Raw genomic sequence first — 17236 nt, forward strand, 5'->3', positions numbered from 1 at the left:
GTATTAATACCAAAAGAATATGTAAAAGTGAGCAATTCCCTCTGTATTCACACAATCCAAGCGAGTGTGAATGATAATGGGATCTTGAATCTCTCGTACCAGACATCAGTAAAAAAACAACTATGTCCTGTCAGCCTTATAACAAAGGAGCTTATTAAGATAAATGATACTTTTAAGATAACATCTACCATAATATGCTACACTTGGTATTCAAATGTAAAACAAGCCAAAGTCAATATATCCATTGTTCTCCCTCTTAATTCTTTGCCTTAATCTCCTTCACAACAAATAAAATTGTAAAGCAAATCAACTGCTCAAAACTAACAGTGCCACTTGTCCTATGTCAAAATTTGTCTAGGACAGTCTAAATTCAAATATTCAATTCTTCTATGGACAATGCAAATTTATTTATATCATGCTTCCTTTTAACAACCTTGATAGGAATTTCAAAACACTGGAGATTAACTGAGTAAATTATGATTCAACTCTATAATATATAGTATGCAACTAAAAAGAATATCTAATGATAAAAGAAAATATTTAATTATTTTGCTAAATGCAAAAAGCAAGTTTCATAATTTTATATTCAATATGTCTACATTTTATAGAACTATACAGATATAATGAAAGACCACAAGGTCATATGCCAAAATATTAATAGTAATTTTTTAAAATGATAGACTTCCAGGTATCTTATATGATTGACTTGCATTTCTTTTGATCTCAATCAGAGTAGTTGAATTATTTTCTTGTGAAAATGTACTATCCTTGTTTTTGTTTCTGTATGTTTTCTCTATGTAAATCCTAGCTTTTCAAATAACCATTCAAATTCTTATGCTTTGTATTTTATTTTCCTGAACATACCAGCTAATGTAAAATAATCTTTCTTTCCAATTCTTGAAACCAAATGTAAGCTCCTTAAGGGAAGAATCTATAACAATTTGTACTTCCCACAGCAACTATATTAGCAGAGAAAAATGATTTGGTAAATAAATACCTGTGAGATTAAAAAGAAAATCTTAAGGATGTAATGAGATTTGCATACACACAGACACACTCTCACACTTTCTTTAAGAGGAGGCTCTTCAGTCCTATTTATTTCACCCAACTCTCATCAAGTTGCAGACTCTGAACCAAAAGGAATCTTAGGAACCCTCCATACTGTGCTGATTTCTCCTCCGTAATAGTCTCTTTGCATCCAGCTGGGCTTGAATATCTTCAGCCACAGAAAAATCACTTAACATATGGAGCTCATTCTATTGCTACATATGTCCTAAATACTAAAACATTATTTTAATGCTTAGCCACAACACACACATGCTTAAATTTAAAAAAAAAAAAAGTCAGTACCATCCCCTAGGTAATCATGTTTGTAACACTTTAATGAGTTTAAGGCCTGAGCTCTAAATTATAATCAAATGTTAAGTTAAAAAAAATGAAGCATATAGAATTTTCTGCTTTCTTCATGTTGATTGCTTCCTTATACTTCCTTATTTTCAATATGTATCTTACTTATTTAAGGTATATTTTAAAATTTAATGTGATGGCAGAAAACAAAATATGAAAACAATGCATACTATTATATATTTATCAAGATTTGTGTAATTTAGACCATCATTTGAATCTTACTTCTTATATTTCGATATTTTAAGAATTAAGCTTATATAGGTAAAGACCAAGGTTACAGTTTTACTATAATAAGTTATATAAAAAACAAATATATTGAAGCAGAGCACAGCAAACTTTTCCTGTAAAGGACCTGATAGTAAATATTTTCAGCTTTGGGAACTATACAATCCCTGCTACAACTATTAATCTCTGTCATTATAGGGCAAAAGCAGCCACAAATAACATGTAAGTGAATGGCGTGTCTGTTTAGCTGTGTTCCAATAAAACTTTATTTATTAAAAACAAGCAAGATTTGAATTTGGCCTGATGTAAACATAGTTTGATAATCCCTATACTATTGGGATTACTCATGCCATTGTCCTAATGAACTACATAGTTTAAATCTATTCCATCAATAAGGCTATGTGCATCAGGATTTATTCAATTGAACGTGTATTTGTTAAGCTCATCATATAAGCTCAGCATTGTAATCAATCAGGCTTTATACAGTCTTATTTAAGATTGCCTAGAAAAACAGACTAAAGATTATGCAACAAATTTGAGACATCCAAGTGGCAAAACCAAGTAATTCAACATGAAATATTTATTTGAGGATATGAAAAAACAAATGTACATGCGTGTGTATGCACACAGGCACCTGTAACAATAGCCTTGTTTTCCTCTCTTAGGAAGATATAAATAAAAGCTTAAATGGCTTTCATGAGAGTAGAAGAGATATCATGTTATTTCGTTCTCTTTTTAAAGCATTCTAGAATAAATAAACAGTAGTTGCCAGAGGACCTACTATAAGCAATTCTGGACTTGACCCCCAAAAATGTTACCTCTCAAAATATTTCTGAAGGATGAGCTGAAGGGGAGTAAACAGTGACTTAAAATCTGATAGTAGACACTTTTCATGATCCTTGAACAAGGATCTATCATTATGCCTTAGTGTACCTCTGGTTCATAACTTTGACACACACAATGATTATTCCTCAGTGGTAATGAAATATTTATTAAATACAGATAATATTTGATAGGGTTTAGATATCTGTCCCTTTTAAATCAGCTCATGTTGAAATATAGTCCCCAGTGTTGGACGTGGAGCCTGATGGGAGATGTTCGGATCAGGAGGTGGATCACTCATGAATAGCCTTGTGCCATCTTTTTGGTAATGAGTGAATTCTCCTTCTATTAGTTTACCTGAGAGTTGCTGTTTAACCCATTCTCCCCAAGAATATTCGCTGGTGGTGCTTGTGGCTGCAGAGTTTACCCTGAGATAACTCGTGGGTTACAGTTCTAACCTTACCCCCAAAGTTTGCCAGGGAATATCTCAATTTTATTATTATTTTCACATTGCTCTAATATATCAACTTGGGAAACAAAATACATCATTCTATTTATAGCATTCTGTTTTTAGTAGTGGTATTTCTATTTACAAAATATAGTAATTCTCAATTGCTGAAAATGTCAAATTCTATACAACATAGAATTCGACATTTTCTGTGTTGTTCCATGCTTCAAAATTTGAAATTTACTAACAGATAAACATTATTAAATACTGATCGTCATATACATTTCTATTACATTAAGATTAGAGACAAGTTCTGTTTACAAATAACTCCAAGAACAGTTTTTAGATTTTATTTTCACATTGAAAATCAATTAGATTTGCTCCTACCTCAAAGAGCATGTTTGTGTAAAATTAAATGAGTACTGGCAGTGAGCTGCACTTTTTTTTTCTAAATGAGAAATGGGTTAAAAGAGTGTTGCACCTCTTCCTCTCACTCATTCCCTTTCTTGTCATGTGACATGCCTGCTCCCTCTTTGCCTCCTGCCATGAGTAAAAGCTGCTTGAGGTCTCACCAGAAGCTGAGCAGATGCTGGTGCCCCACTTGTATAGCCTGCAGAACTGTGAGCCAAATAACCCCCTCTTTTTAAAAAATAAATTACCCAGCCTCAAGTATTCCTTCATAGCAATGCAAAATAAACTAATACAGAAAATTGGTACTAAGAGTGGGCTCTTGTATAAAGATACCTGAAAATGTGGAAGCATCTTTGTTACTGGGTAACAGTCAGAGGTTGGAAGAGTTTGAAGGTCTCGAAAGAAGACAAGAGAGAATTTGGAACTTTTTAGAGACTTGTTAAGTAGTTGTAACCAAAATGCTGGTAGAAATATAAACAGTAAAGGCCAGGCTGATGAGGTATCAGATGAAAATGAGAATTTTTTGAAAACTGGAGCAAAATTCACCCTTGTTACATCCTAGCAAAGAGCTTGGCTGCATTGTGTCCATGCTGTAGGGATTTATGGGATGTTTAACTTAAGAGTGTTGACTTAGGATATCTGACAGAAGAAATTTCTAAGCAGAAAGCATTCAAGGGGCTGTGTGGCTGTTTCTAACAAACTACAACAAGATGTTGGAACAGATGTATTACTTAAGGTTAAAAATTATAATAAAAAGCAAAGCAGAGTGTACAAATTTGGAAAATTCATAATCTGGCCATGAGGTAGACAAAGAAAGACAGTTTTCAGGAGAAAAGCAGAAGCAGCTGAGAAATAACCAATTGCTAGAGAGACTTGCATGACTAAAATGGAACCAAGTGCTGATAGCCAAGACAATGGAAAAAAGACCTTGAAGACATTTCAGAAATCTTCAGGAGAGTCCCTGCCATCACAGGCCTAGAGGCCTAGGAAGAAAGAATGCTTCTGGGGACAATGCCTGGGAGACCACTGCTCTGCACCACCTCAGGAGAGTGTGCCCTATATCCTGGCTGCTTCAGCCCCAACCAAAGCTGAAAGGGCCTGGGTATACCTAAGCTCCCATTATGGAGAGTTCAAGCCACTGTAAGCATTGGCAGCTTCTACATGGTGTTAATCCTGTAAGTGCACAGAGCACGAGAGTGAAGGCTTAGTAACTTCCACTTATATTTCAGAGGATGTATTGGAAAGGCTGGGTACCTAGGCAGAAGCCTGCTACAGGGGTGGAGCCCTTGCAGAGAGCCTATACTAGGATAGTGCCAAGGGGAAATGTGGGGTTGCAGCCCCCACACAGAGTCACCACCCGGGCAATGCCTAGTGGATTTGTGAAAATGGGGCCACCACCTTTCAGATCCCAGAATATACCTTGAGCCTGGAAAAGTCACAGGCATTCAACTCCAACCCGTTACAGCAGCCACATGGGCTTCACCAAATAAAGCCATGGAGGCAGAGCTGCAGAGCTGCCCAAGGCCTTGGGAAGACCACCTGTCATTTTTCTCCAATGTAGTAGTTTCTCCAATAACCCATGGTACCTCCCACCAAGACCTGAGTCCTCAAAATATCTATTGAATGGTTGTACTCTTAGGGGTGTAGTTATAATAATAATGATATACTTCAGTATTAAATTTTAAATTTTATGGAGTAATGATAAGCAATAAAAATAAAACAATACTTCTTCCTTGTTTGCTAAATTACAAGTAGCAAGCCATTCAGGGGAGGAGCCAAGATGGCCGAATAGGAACAGCTCCGGTCTACAGCTCCCAGCGTGAGCGACACAGAAGACGGGTGATTTCTGCATTTCCATCTGAGGTACCGGGTTCATCTCACTAGGGAGTGCCAGACAGTGGGCGCAGGTCAGTGGGTGCGCACACCGTGCGTGAGCCGAAGCAGGGCAAGGCATTGCCTCACCTGGGAAGCGCAAGGGGTCAGGGAGTTCCCTTTCGGAGTCAAAGAAAGGGGTGACGGACAGCGCCTGGAAAATCGGGTCACTCCCACCCGAATACTGTGCTTTTCCAACGGGCTTAAAAAACGACGCACCACGAGATTATATCCCGCACCTGGCTCGGAGGGTCCTACGCCCACGGAGTCTCGCTGATTGCTAGCACAGCAGTCTGAGATCAAACTGCAAGGCGGCAGCGAGGCCGGGGGAGGGGCGCCTGCCATTGCCCAGGCTTGATTAGGTAAACAAAGCAGCCTGTAAGCTCGAACTGGGTGGAGCCCACCACAGCTCAAGGAGGCCTGCCTGCCTGCCTCTGTAGGCTCCACCTCTGGGGACAGGGCACAGACAAACAAAAAGACAGCAGTAACCTCTGCAGACTTAAATGTCCCTGTGTGACAGCTTTGAAGAGAACAGTGGCTCTCCCAGCATGCAGCTGGAGATCTGAGAACAGGCAGACGGCCTTCTCAAGTGGGTCCCTGACCCCTGACCCCCGAGCAGCCTAACTGGGAGGCACCCCCCAGCAGGGACACACTGACACCTCACACGGCAGGGTACTCCAACAGACCTGCAGCTGAGGGTCCTCTCTGTTAGAAGGAAAACTAACAAACAGAAAGGACATCCACACCAAAAACCCATCTGTACATCACCATCATCAAAGACCAAAAGTAGATAAAACCACAAAGATGGGGAAAAAACAGAACAAAAACTGGAAACTCTAAGATGCAGAGCGCCTCTCCTCCTCCAAAGGAACGCAGTTCCTCACCAGCAACGGAACAAAGCTGGATGGAGAATGACTTTGACGAGCTGAGAGAAGAAGGCTTCAGACGATCAAATTACTCTGAGCTACGGGAGGACATTCAAACCAAAGGCAAAGAAGTTGAAAACTTTGAAAAAAATTTAGAAGAATGTATAACTAGAATAACCAATACAGAGAAGTGCTTAAAGGAGCTGATGGAGCTGAAAACCAAGGCTCGAGAACTACGTGAAGAATGCAGAAGCCTCAGGAGCCAATGCGATCAACTGGAAGAAAGGGTATCAGCGATGGAAGATGAAATGAATGAAATGAAGCGAGAAGGGAAGTCTAGAGAAAAAAGAATAAAAAGAAATGAGCAAAGCCTCCAAGAAATATGGGACTATGTGAAAAGACCAAATCTACATCTGATTGATGTACCTGAAAGTGATGGGGAGAAAGGAACCAAGTTGGAAAACACTCTGCAGGATATTATCCAGGAGAACTTCCCCAGTCTAGCAAGGCAGCCCAATGTTCAGATTCAGGAAATACAGACAACACCACAAAGATACTCCTCGAGAAGAGCAACTCCAAGACACATAATTGTCAGATTCACCAAAGTTGAAATGAAGGAAAAAATGTTAAGGGCAGCCAGAGAGAAAGGTCGGGTTACCCTCAAAGGGAAGCCCATCAGACTAACAGCGGATCTCTTGGCAGAAACCCTACAAGCCAGAAGAGAGTGGGGACCAATATTCAACATTCTTAAAGAAAAGAATTTTCAACCCAGAATTTCATATCCAGCCAAACTAAGCTTCATAAGTGAAGGAGAAATAAAATACTTTACAGACAAGCAAATGCTGAGAGATTTTGTCACCACCAGGCCTGCCTTACAAGAGCTCCTGAAGGAAGCACTAAACATGGAAAGGAATAATCAGTACCAGCCGCTGCAAAATCATGCCAAAATGTAAAGACCATCGAGACTAGGAAGAAACTGCATCAACTAATGAGCAAAATCACCAGCTAACATCATAATGACAGGATCAAATTCACACATAACAATATTAACTTTAAATGTAAATGGACTAAATGCTCCAATTAAAAGACACAGACTGGCAAATTGGATAAAGAGTCAAGACGCATCAGTGTGCTGTATTCAGGAAACCCATCTCACATGCAGAGACACATATAGGCTCAAAATAAAAGGATGGAGGAAGATCTACCAAGCCAGTGGAAAACAAAAAAAGGCAGGGGTTGCAATCCACGTCTCTGATAAAACAGACTTTAAACCAACAAAGATCAAAAGAGACAAGGCCATTACATAATGGTAAAGGGATCAATTCAACAAGAAGAGCTAACTATCCTAAATATATATGCACCCAATACAGGAGCACTAAGATTCATAAAGCAAGTCCTGAGTGACCTACAAAGAGACTTAGACTCCCACACATTAATAATGGGAGACTTTAACACCCCACTGTCAACATTAGACAGATCAACGAGACAGAAAGTCAACAAGGATACCCAGGAATTGAACTCAGCTCTGCACCAAGCGGACCTAATAGACATCTGCAGAACTCTCCACCCCAAATCAACAGAATATACATTTTTTTCAGCACCACACCACACCTATTCCAAAATTGACCACATACTGGGAAGTAAAGCTCTCCTCAGCAAATGTAAAAGAACAGAAATTATAACAAACTATCTCTCAGACCACAGTGCAATCAAACTAGAACTCAGGATTAAGAATCTCACTCAAAACTGCTCAACTACATGGAAACTGAACAACCTGCTCCTGAATGACTACTGGGTACATAACGAAATGAAGGCAGAAATAAAGATGTTCTTTCAAACCAACGAGAACAAAGACACAACATACCAGAATCTCTGGGACGCATTCAAAGCAATGTGTAGAGGGAAATTTATAGCACTAAATGCCCACAAGAGAAAGCAGGAAAGATCCAAAATTGACACCCTAACATCACAATTAAAAGAACTAGAAAAGCAAGAGCAAACACATTCAAAAGCTAGCAGAAGGCAAGAAATAACTAAAATCAGAGCAGAACTGAAGGAAATAGAGACACAAAAAACCCTTCAAAAAATTAATGAATCCAGGAGCTGGTTTTTTGAAAGGATCAACAAAATTGATAGACCACTAGCAAGACTAATAAAGAAAAAAGAGAGAAGAATCAAATAGATGCAATAAAAAATGATAAAGGGGATATCACCACGGATCCCACAGAAATACAAACTACCATCAGGGAATACTACAAACACCTCTACGCAAATAAACTAGAAAATCTAGAAGAAATGGATAAATTCCTGGACACACACACTCTCCCAAGACTAAACCAGGAAGAAGTTGAATCTCTGAATAGACCAATAACAGGAGCTGAAATTGTGGCAATAATCAATAGCTTACCAACCAAAAAGACTCCAGGACCAGATGGATTCACAGCCGAATTCTACCAGAGGTACAAGGAGGAACTGGTACCATTCCTTCTGAAACTATTCCAATCAATAGAAAAAGAGGGAATCCTCCCTAACTCATTTTATGAGGCCAGCATCATTCTGATACCAAAGCCGGGCAGAGACACAACCAAAAAAGAGAATTTTAGACCAATATCCTTGATGAACATTGATGCAAAAATCCTCAATAAAATACTGGCAAAACGAATCCAGCAGCACATCAAAAAGCTTATCCACCATGAACAAGTGGGCTTCATCCCTGGGATGCAAGGCTGGTTCAATATACGCAAATCAATAAATGTAATGCAGCATATAAACAGAGCCAAAGACAAAAACCACGTGAGTATCTCAATAGATGCAGAAAAAGCCTTTGACAAAATTCAACAACCCTTCATGCTAAAAACTCTCAATAAATTAGGTATTGATGGGACGTATTTCAAAATAATAAGAGCTATCTATGACAAACCCACAGCCAATATCATACTGAATGGGCAAAAACTGGAAGCATTCCCTTTGAAAACTGGCACAAGACAGGGATGCCCTCTCTCACCACTCCTATTCAACATAGTGTTGGAAGTTCTGGCCAGGGCAATTAGGCAGGAGAAGGAAATAAAGGGTATTCAATTAGGAAAAGAGGAAGTCAAATTGTCCCTGTTTGCAGACGACATGATTGTATATCTAGAAAACCCCATTGTCTCAGCCCAAAATCTCCTTAAGCTGATAAGCAACTTCAGCGAAGTCTCAGGATACAAAATCAATGTACAAAAATCACAAGCATTCTTATACACCAACAACAGACAAACAGAGAGCCAAATCATGAGTGAACTCCCATTCACAATTGCTTCAAAGAGAATAAAATACCTAGGAATCCAACTTACAAGGGATGTGAAGGACCTCTTCAAGGAGAACTACAAACCACTTCTCGAGGAAATAAAAGAGGATACAAACAAATGGAAGAACATTCCATGCTCATGGGTAGGAAGAATCAATATCATGAAAATGGCCATACTGCCCAAGGTAATTTACAGATTCAATGCCATCCCCATCAAGCTACCGATGACTTTCTTCACAGAATTGGAAAAAACTACTTTAAAGTTCATATGGAACCAAAAAAGAGCCCGCATCGCCAAGTCAATCCTAAGCCAAAAGAACAAAGCTGGAGGCATCACACTACCTGACTTCAAACTATACTACAAGGCTACAGTAACCAAAACAGCATGGTACTGGTACCAAAACAGAGATATAGATCAATGGAACAGAACAGAGCCCTCAGAAATAACGCCGCATATCTACAACTATCTGATCTTTGACAAACCTGAGAAAAACAAGCAATGGGGAAAGAACTCCCTATTTAATAAATGGTGCTGGGAAAACTGGCTAGCCATATGTAGAAAGCTGAAACTGGATCCCTTCCTTACATCTTATACAAAAATCAATTCAACATGGATTAAAGACTTAAATGTTAGACCTAAAACCATAAAAACCCTAGAAAAAAACGTAGGCATTACCATTCAGGACATAGGCATGGGCAAGGACTTCATGTCCAGAACACCAAAAGCAATGGCAACAAAAGACAAAATTGACAAATGGGATCTAATTAAACTGAAGAGCTTCTGCACAGCAAAAGAAACTACCATCAGAGTGAACAGGCAACCTACAAAATGGGAGAAAATTTTCGCAACCTACTCATCTGACAAAGGGCTAATATCCAGAATCTACAATGAACTCAAACAAATTTACAAGAAAAAAAACAAACAACCCCATCAAAAAGTGGGCGAAGGACATGAACAGACACTTCTCAAAAGAAGACATTTATGCAGCCAAAAAACACATGAAAAAATGCTCATCATCACTGGCCATCAGAGAAATGCACATCAAAACCACAATGAGATACCATCTCACACCAGTTAGAATGGCAATCATTAAAAAGTCAGGAAACAACAGGTGCTGGAGAGGATGTGGAGAAATAGGAACACTTTTACACTGTTGGTGGGACTGTAAACTAGTTCAACCATTGTGGAAGTCAGTGTGGCGATTCCTCAGGGATCTAGAACTGGAAATACCATTTGACCCAGCCATCCCATTACTGTGTGTATACCCAAAGGACTATAAATCATGCTGCTATAAAGACACATGCACACGTATGTTTATTGCGGCATTATTCACAATAGCAAAGACTTGGAACCAACCCAAATGTCCAACAATGATAGACTGGATTAAGAAAATGTGGCACATATACACCATGGAATACTATGCAGTCATCAAAAATGATGAGTTCATGTCCTTTGTAGGGAAATGGATGAAATTGGAAATCATCATTCTCAGTAAACTATCTTAAGAACAAAAAACCAAACACCGCATATTCTCACTCATAGGTGGGAATTGAACAATGACAACACATGGACACAGGAAGGGGAATATCACACTCTGGGGACTGTTGTGGGGTGGGGGGAGTGGGGAGGGATAGCATCGGGAGATATACCTAATGCTAGATGACGAGTTAGTGGGTGCAGCGCACCAGCATGGCACATGTATACATATGTAACTAACCTGCACAATGTGCACATGTACCCTAAAACTTAAAGTATAATAAAAATAAATAAATAAATAAATTACAAGTAGCATAAACTAAGATGGATGTGTAGATAGATACATAGGCCCCTTGTTATGTTTTCTTATCTTTCAGAACAAAAAAGTAGACAAGTTTCCTAGTCAAGATATTCCTTAGCTACAGCAGTCACAGGAAAATTATAGCACATGTTACCTCTAATCATATATCTGTCTATAGAATGATTCATCCTGCATGTTTCTAACAGAGCGATCATTGCTCAGCACAACCCTGCTCATTTAATTACTCCTCAGAATCCTCAAGTGGCTCTCAATACTTCCAAAATACAAGTCAAATCAGGTTTGCCTGTCTTCCAAACTCCTCAACAATTCAACTCTCAGCCATCTTTCATTTTGAAACACAGGTTGTTTTGGTAGAATTTACATAAAATAAAATTTACTCTTTTTGATGTATAATTCTATGAGTTTTACTAACGTATATAGTCATGTGACTACAAATAAAATCAATATATAGAACATTTTCATCACCTGAAAATGTAACCTTCTGCCTCTTTGTAGGCATTCATCTCCCTCAGTCCTAGCCAGTGGCAACCACTGACTTATTTCTTGTCCTTCAACTTGACTCCTAGAAACTCATGTAAACGGAATCATAAAGGATATAGCCTTTTAAGTACGTATTGTTTCACTAACTTAATGTATTTGAGATTTATCCATATTGTTGCTTATTTAGTAGGTTGAGCCTTTCACTTTTTATTGCTATCATTCCATTATATGGATAGGCCAAAGTTTGTTTAACCATTTGTCCATTGAGAGATATTTATGTGGGGATTTGCTGACAAGATGGCCAAATAGGAAAAGTTCCAGTCTGCAGCTCCCAGCGAGATCGACGCAGAAGGTGGGTGATTCCTGCATTTCCAACTGAGGTAAGCAGTTCATCTCATTGGGACTGGTTGGAGAGTGGGTACAGCCCGTGGAGGGCAAGCCAAAGCAGGATGGGGCATCACCTCACCCAGGAAGCACAAGGGTTGGGGGAATTATCTCCCCGACCCAAGGAAAGCAGTGAGGCACTGCACCATGAGGAATGGTGTGCTCTGGCCCAGGTACTGCACTTTTCCCATGGTCTACACAACCCACAGATCAGGAGATTCCTTCTGGTGCCTAAGCCACCAGAGCCCTGGATTTCAAGCACAAAACTGGGTGGTTGTTTGGGCAGATACCAAACTAGCTTCAGGAGTTTTTTTTCAATACCCCAGTGGCGCCTGGAACACCAGTGAGACAGAATCGTTCACTCCCCTGGAAAGGGGGCTGAAGCCAGGGAGCCAAGTGGTCTGGCTCGGGGGATCCCACCCCCATGGAGGCCAGCAAGCTTGGATGCACTGGCTGGAAGTTCTCGCTGCCAGCACAGCAGTTTGAGGTTGACCTGGGATGCTCAAGCTTGGTGTGGGGAGGGGCCTCTGCCAATGCTGAGACTTGAGTAAGTGGTTTTACCCTTACAGAGTGAACAAAGCTGCAGGGAAGTTCAAGCTGGGCAGAGCCCACCGCAGCTCAGCAAGGCCATGGTGGCCAGACTGCCTCTCCAGATCCCTCCTCTCTGGGCAGGGCATGTCTGAAATAAAGGCAGCAGCCCCAGCTGCTTATAGATAAAACCTCCATATCCCAGGGACAATGCACCTAGGGGAAGGGGCAGCTGTGGGCGCAGCTTCAGCAGACTTAAACATTCCTGCCTGACAGCTCTGAAGAGAGCAGCAGATCTCCCAGCACAGAGTTTCAGCTCTGCTAAGGGTAAGACTTCCCCATCAAGTGAGTCCCTGACCCCTATGTATCCTGACTGGGAGACACCTCGCAGTAGGGGCTGACATACACCTCATACAGGAGAGCTCTGGCTAGCATCTGGCAGGTGCCCCTCTGGGACGAAGCTTCCAGAGGAAGGAACAGGCAGCAATCTTTGCTGTTCTGCAGCCTCCACTGGTGATTCTCAGGAAACAGGGTCTGGAGTGGACCTCCAGCAAACTCCAGCAGATCTGTAGCAGAGGGGCCTGTTAGAAGGAAAACTGACAAACAGGGATAGCATCAATATCAACAAAAAGGACGTCCACTCAGAGACCCCATCTGAAAGTCACCAACATCAAAGACCAAAGGTAGATAAATCCACTAAGATAGTGAGAAACCAGTGCAAAAAGGCTGAAAATTCCAAAAGCCAGAACACCTCATCTCCTCCAAAGGATCACAACTTCTGGCCAGCAAGGGAACAAAACTGGATGGAGAATGAGTTTGACAAATTGACAGAAGTAGGTTTCAGAAGGTGGGTGATAACAAACTCCTCCGAGCTAAAGGAGCATGTTTAACCCAATGCAAGGAAGCTAAGAACCTGGAAAAAAGGTTAGACAAATTGCTAACTAGAATAACCAGTTTAGAGAAGAACATAAATGACCTGATCGAGCTGAAACACAGCATTAAAACATCCTGATGCATAAACAAGTATCAATAGCTGAATCAATCAAGCAGAAGAAAGCATCTCAGACATTGAAGATCAACTTAATGAAATAAAGTGAGAAGACAATATTAAAGAAAAAAGAATAAAAAGGAATGAACAAAGCCTCCAAGAAATATGGGACTATGTGGAAAAAAACTAAATCCACATTTAATTGTTGTACCTGAAAGTGACGGGGAGAATGGAATCAAATTGGAAAACACTCTTAAGGATATTATCCAGGAGAACTTCACCAACCTAGCAAGGCAGGCCAACATTCAAATTCAGAAAATACAGAGAACACCACAAAGATACTCCTCAAGAAGAGCAACCCCAAGACACATAATTGTCAGATTCACCAAGATTGAAATGAAGGAAAAATTATTAAGGGCAGCCAGAGAGAAAGGTCGGGTTACCCACAAAGGAAAGCCCCTCAGACTAACAGGAGATCTCTCAGCAGAAAACTTACAAGCCAGAAGAGAGTGGGTGCCAATATTCAACATTGTTAAAGAAAAGATTTTCAACCCAGAATTTCATATCCAGCCAAACTAAGCTTCATAAGTGAGGGAGAAATAAAATCCTTTACAAACAAGCAAATGCTGAAAGATTTTGTCACCACCAGGCCTGCCTTACCAGAGCTCCTGGAGGAAGCACTAAACATGCAAAGGAACAACTGGTACCAGTCACTGCGAAAACATACCAAATTATAAAGACCGTCGACATTATGAAAAAACTGCATCAATTAACATGTAAAATAACCAGCTAGTGTCATAATGACAGGTTCAAATTCCCAAATAACAATATTAACCTTAAATGTAAATGGCTTAAATGTCCCAATTAAAAGACATAGACCGGCAAACTGGATAAAGAGTCAAGACCCATCAGTGTGCTGTATTAAGGAGATCCAGCTCATATGCAAAGACACACATAGGCTCAAAATACAGGGATAGAAAAAGATTTACCAAACGAATGGAAAGCAAAAAAAAAGCTACGGTTGTATTCTTAGTCTCTGGTAAAACAGACTTTAAACCAACAAAGATCAAAAGAGAAAAAGAAGGGCATTACATATTGGTAAAGGGACCAATGCAGCAAGAAGAGCTAACCATACTAAATATGTATGCACCAAATACTGGAGCACACAGATTCATAAAGCAACTTCTTAGAGACCTACAAAGAGGCTTAGAATCCCACACAATAATAATGGGAGACTTTAACACCCCATTGGCAATATTAGACAGATCAATGAGACAGAAAATTAACAAGGATATCCAGGACTTGAACTCAGCTCTGGACCAAGCAGAACTAATAGACATCTACAGAACTCTCCACCCCAAATCAACAGAATATACATTCTTCTCAGCACCTCATCACACTTATTCTAAAATTGAGCACATAATTGGAAGTAAAACATGCCTCAGCAAATGCAAAAGAATGGAAATCACAACAGTCTCTCAGACCACAGTACAATCAAAGTAGAACTCAGGATTAAGAAACTCACTCAGAACAGCAAACAACATGGAAACTGAACAATGTGCTCCTGAATGACTACTGGGTAAATAACAAAATAAAGACAGAAATAAAGATGTTCCTTGAAACCAATAAGAACAAAGACACAATGTACAAGAATCTCTAGGACACATTTAAAAGAGTGTTTAGAGGGAAATTTATAGCACTACATGCCCACAAGAGAAAGCAGAAAATATCTAAAATTGACACACTAACATCACAATTAAAAGAACTAGAGAAGGAAGAACAAACAAATTCAAAAGCAGCAGATGACAAGAAATAACTAAGATCAGAGCAGAACTGAAGAAGATAGAGCCATGAAAAATACTTCAAAAAATCAATGAATCCAAGAGTTGGTTTTTTGAAAAGATCAACAAAATAGACTGCTAGCCAGACTAATAGAGAAGAAAAGAGAGAAGAATCAAATAGGCACAATAAAAAATGATAAAGGGGATATAACCACTGATCCCACAGAAATACAAACTACCACCAGAGGATACTATAAACACGTCTATGCAAATAAACTAGAAAATCTAGAAGAAATGGATAAATTCCTGGACACCTACACCCTCCCAAGTCTAAACCAGGAAGAAGTCGAATCCCTGAATAGACCAATAAAAAGTTCTGAGATGGAGGCAGTAATTAACAGCCTACCACCAAAAAAAAATCCTGGACCAGACAGATTCACAGCTGATTTTTATGAGGGATACAAAGAGGAGCTGGTACCATTCCTTCTGAAACTATTCCAAACAATAGAGAAAGAGAGAATCCTTTCTAACTCATTTTATGAGGCCAGCATCATCCTGATACCAAAAGCTGGCAGAGACACACACAAAAAAGAAAATTTCAGGTCAATATCCCTGATGAACATCGATGCAAAAATCCTCAATAAAATACTGGCAAACCAAATCCAGCAGCACATCAAAAAGCTTACGCACCATGATCAAGTTGGCTTCATCCCTGGGATGCAAGGCTGGTTCAGCATACTCAAATCAATAAACGTAATTGATCACAGAAACAGAACCAATGACAAAAACCACATGATTATCTAAATAGATGCAGAAAAGGCCTTCGACAAAATTCAACAACGCTTCATGGTGAAAGCTCTCAATAAACTAGGTATTGATGGAACAGATCTCAAAATAATAAGACCTATTTATGACAAACCCACAGCCAATATCATACTGAATGTGCAAAAACTGGAAGCATTCCTTTTGAAAACTGGCACAAGACAAGGATGTCCTCTCTCACCACTCCTATTCAACACAGTATTGGAAGTTTTGGCTAGGGCAATCAGGCAAGAGAAAGAAATAAAATGTATTCAAATAGGAAGAGAGGAAGTCAAATTGTCTCTGTTTGCAGATGACATGATTGTATATTTAGAAAACCCCAACATCTCAGCCCAAAATCTCCTTAATCTGATAAGCAACTTCAGCAAAGTCTCAGGATACAAAATCAATGTACCAAAATTACAAGCATTCCTATACACCAATAACAGACAAATAGCCAAATCATGAGTGTACTCCCATTCAGAATTGCTACAAAGGCAATAAAATACCTAGGAATGCAACTCACAAGGGATGTGAAGGACCTCTTCAAGGAGAACTACAAACCACTGCTCAAGGAAATAAAAGAGGACGCAAATAAATGGAAAAACGTTCTATGCTTATGGATAGGAAGAATCAATAACATGAAAATGGCCATAGTGCCCAAAGTAATTTATAGATTCAATGCTTTCCCCAACAAGCTACCATTGACTTTCTTCACAGAATTAGAAAAAAAACTTTGAATTTCATATGGAACCAAAAACAAAAGTCCACATAGCCAAGAAAATCCTAACTAAAAAGAACAAAGCTGGGGGCATCATGCTACCTGACTTCAAACTATACTACACGGTGACAGTAAGCAAAACAGCATGGTACTGGTCCCGTAACAGATATACAGACCAATAGAACAGAACAGAGGCCTCAGAAATAACACCACACATATACAACCATCTGATCTTTGACAAACCTGACAAAAACAAGCAATGGGGAAAGAATTTCCTATTTAATAAATGGTGTTGAAAAAACTGGCTAGCCATATGTAAGAAACTGAATCTGGACTTTCCTTACACCCTATACAAAAATTAACTCAAGATGGATTAAAGGCTTAAATGTAAACCCTAAAACCATAAAAACCCTAGAG

At 39.5% G+C, this 17236-nt stretch overlaps 1 long non-coding RNA gene across 1 annotated transcript in view, besides 1 other annotated feature; it reads left to right on the plus strand.

Annotated features, from left to right (window-relative positions):
• LINC01266 (long intergenic non-protein coding RNA 1266) overlaps positions 1 to 17236 on the plus strand; it is a 253911-nt gene that overhangs the window by 212193 nt on the left and 24482 nt on the right. The window lies entirely within an intron of this gene.
• Positions 865 to 1402: an enhancer, noted in NCBI's record as "NANOG hESC enhancer chr3:846845-847382 (GRCh37/hg19 assembly coordinates)". NCBI's record gives its function as "activates a minimal SCP1, AML or CMV promoter by ChIP-STARR-seq in naive H9 embryonic stem cells {active_cell/tissue: H9 hESC(naive)}" and the evidence as "EXISTENCE:reporter gene assay evidence [ECO:0000049][PMID:30033119]".

The sequence above is a fragment of the Homo sapiens genome, chromosome 3 (genome assembly GCF_000001405.40).
Source record: "Homo sapiens chromosome 3, GRCh38.p14 Primary Assembly".
In the NCBI taxonomy this organism is placed as follows: Eukaryota; Metazoa; Chordata; class Mammalia; order Primates; family Hominidae; genus Homo; species Homo sapiens.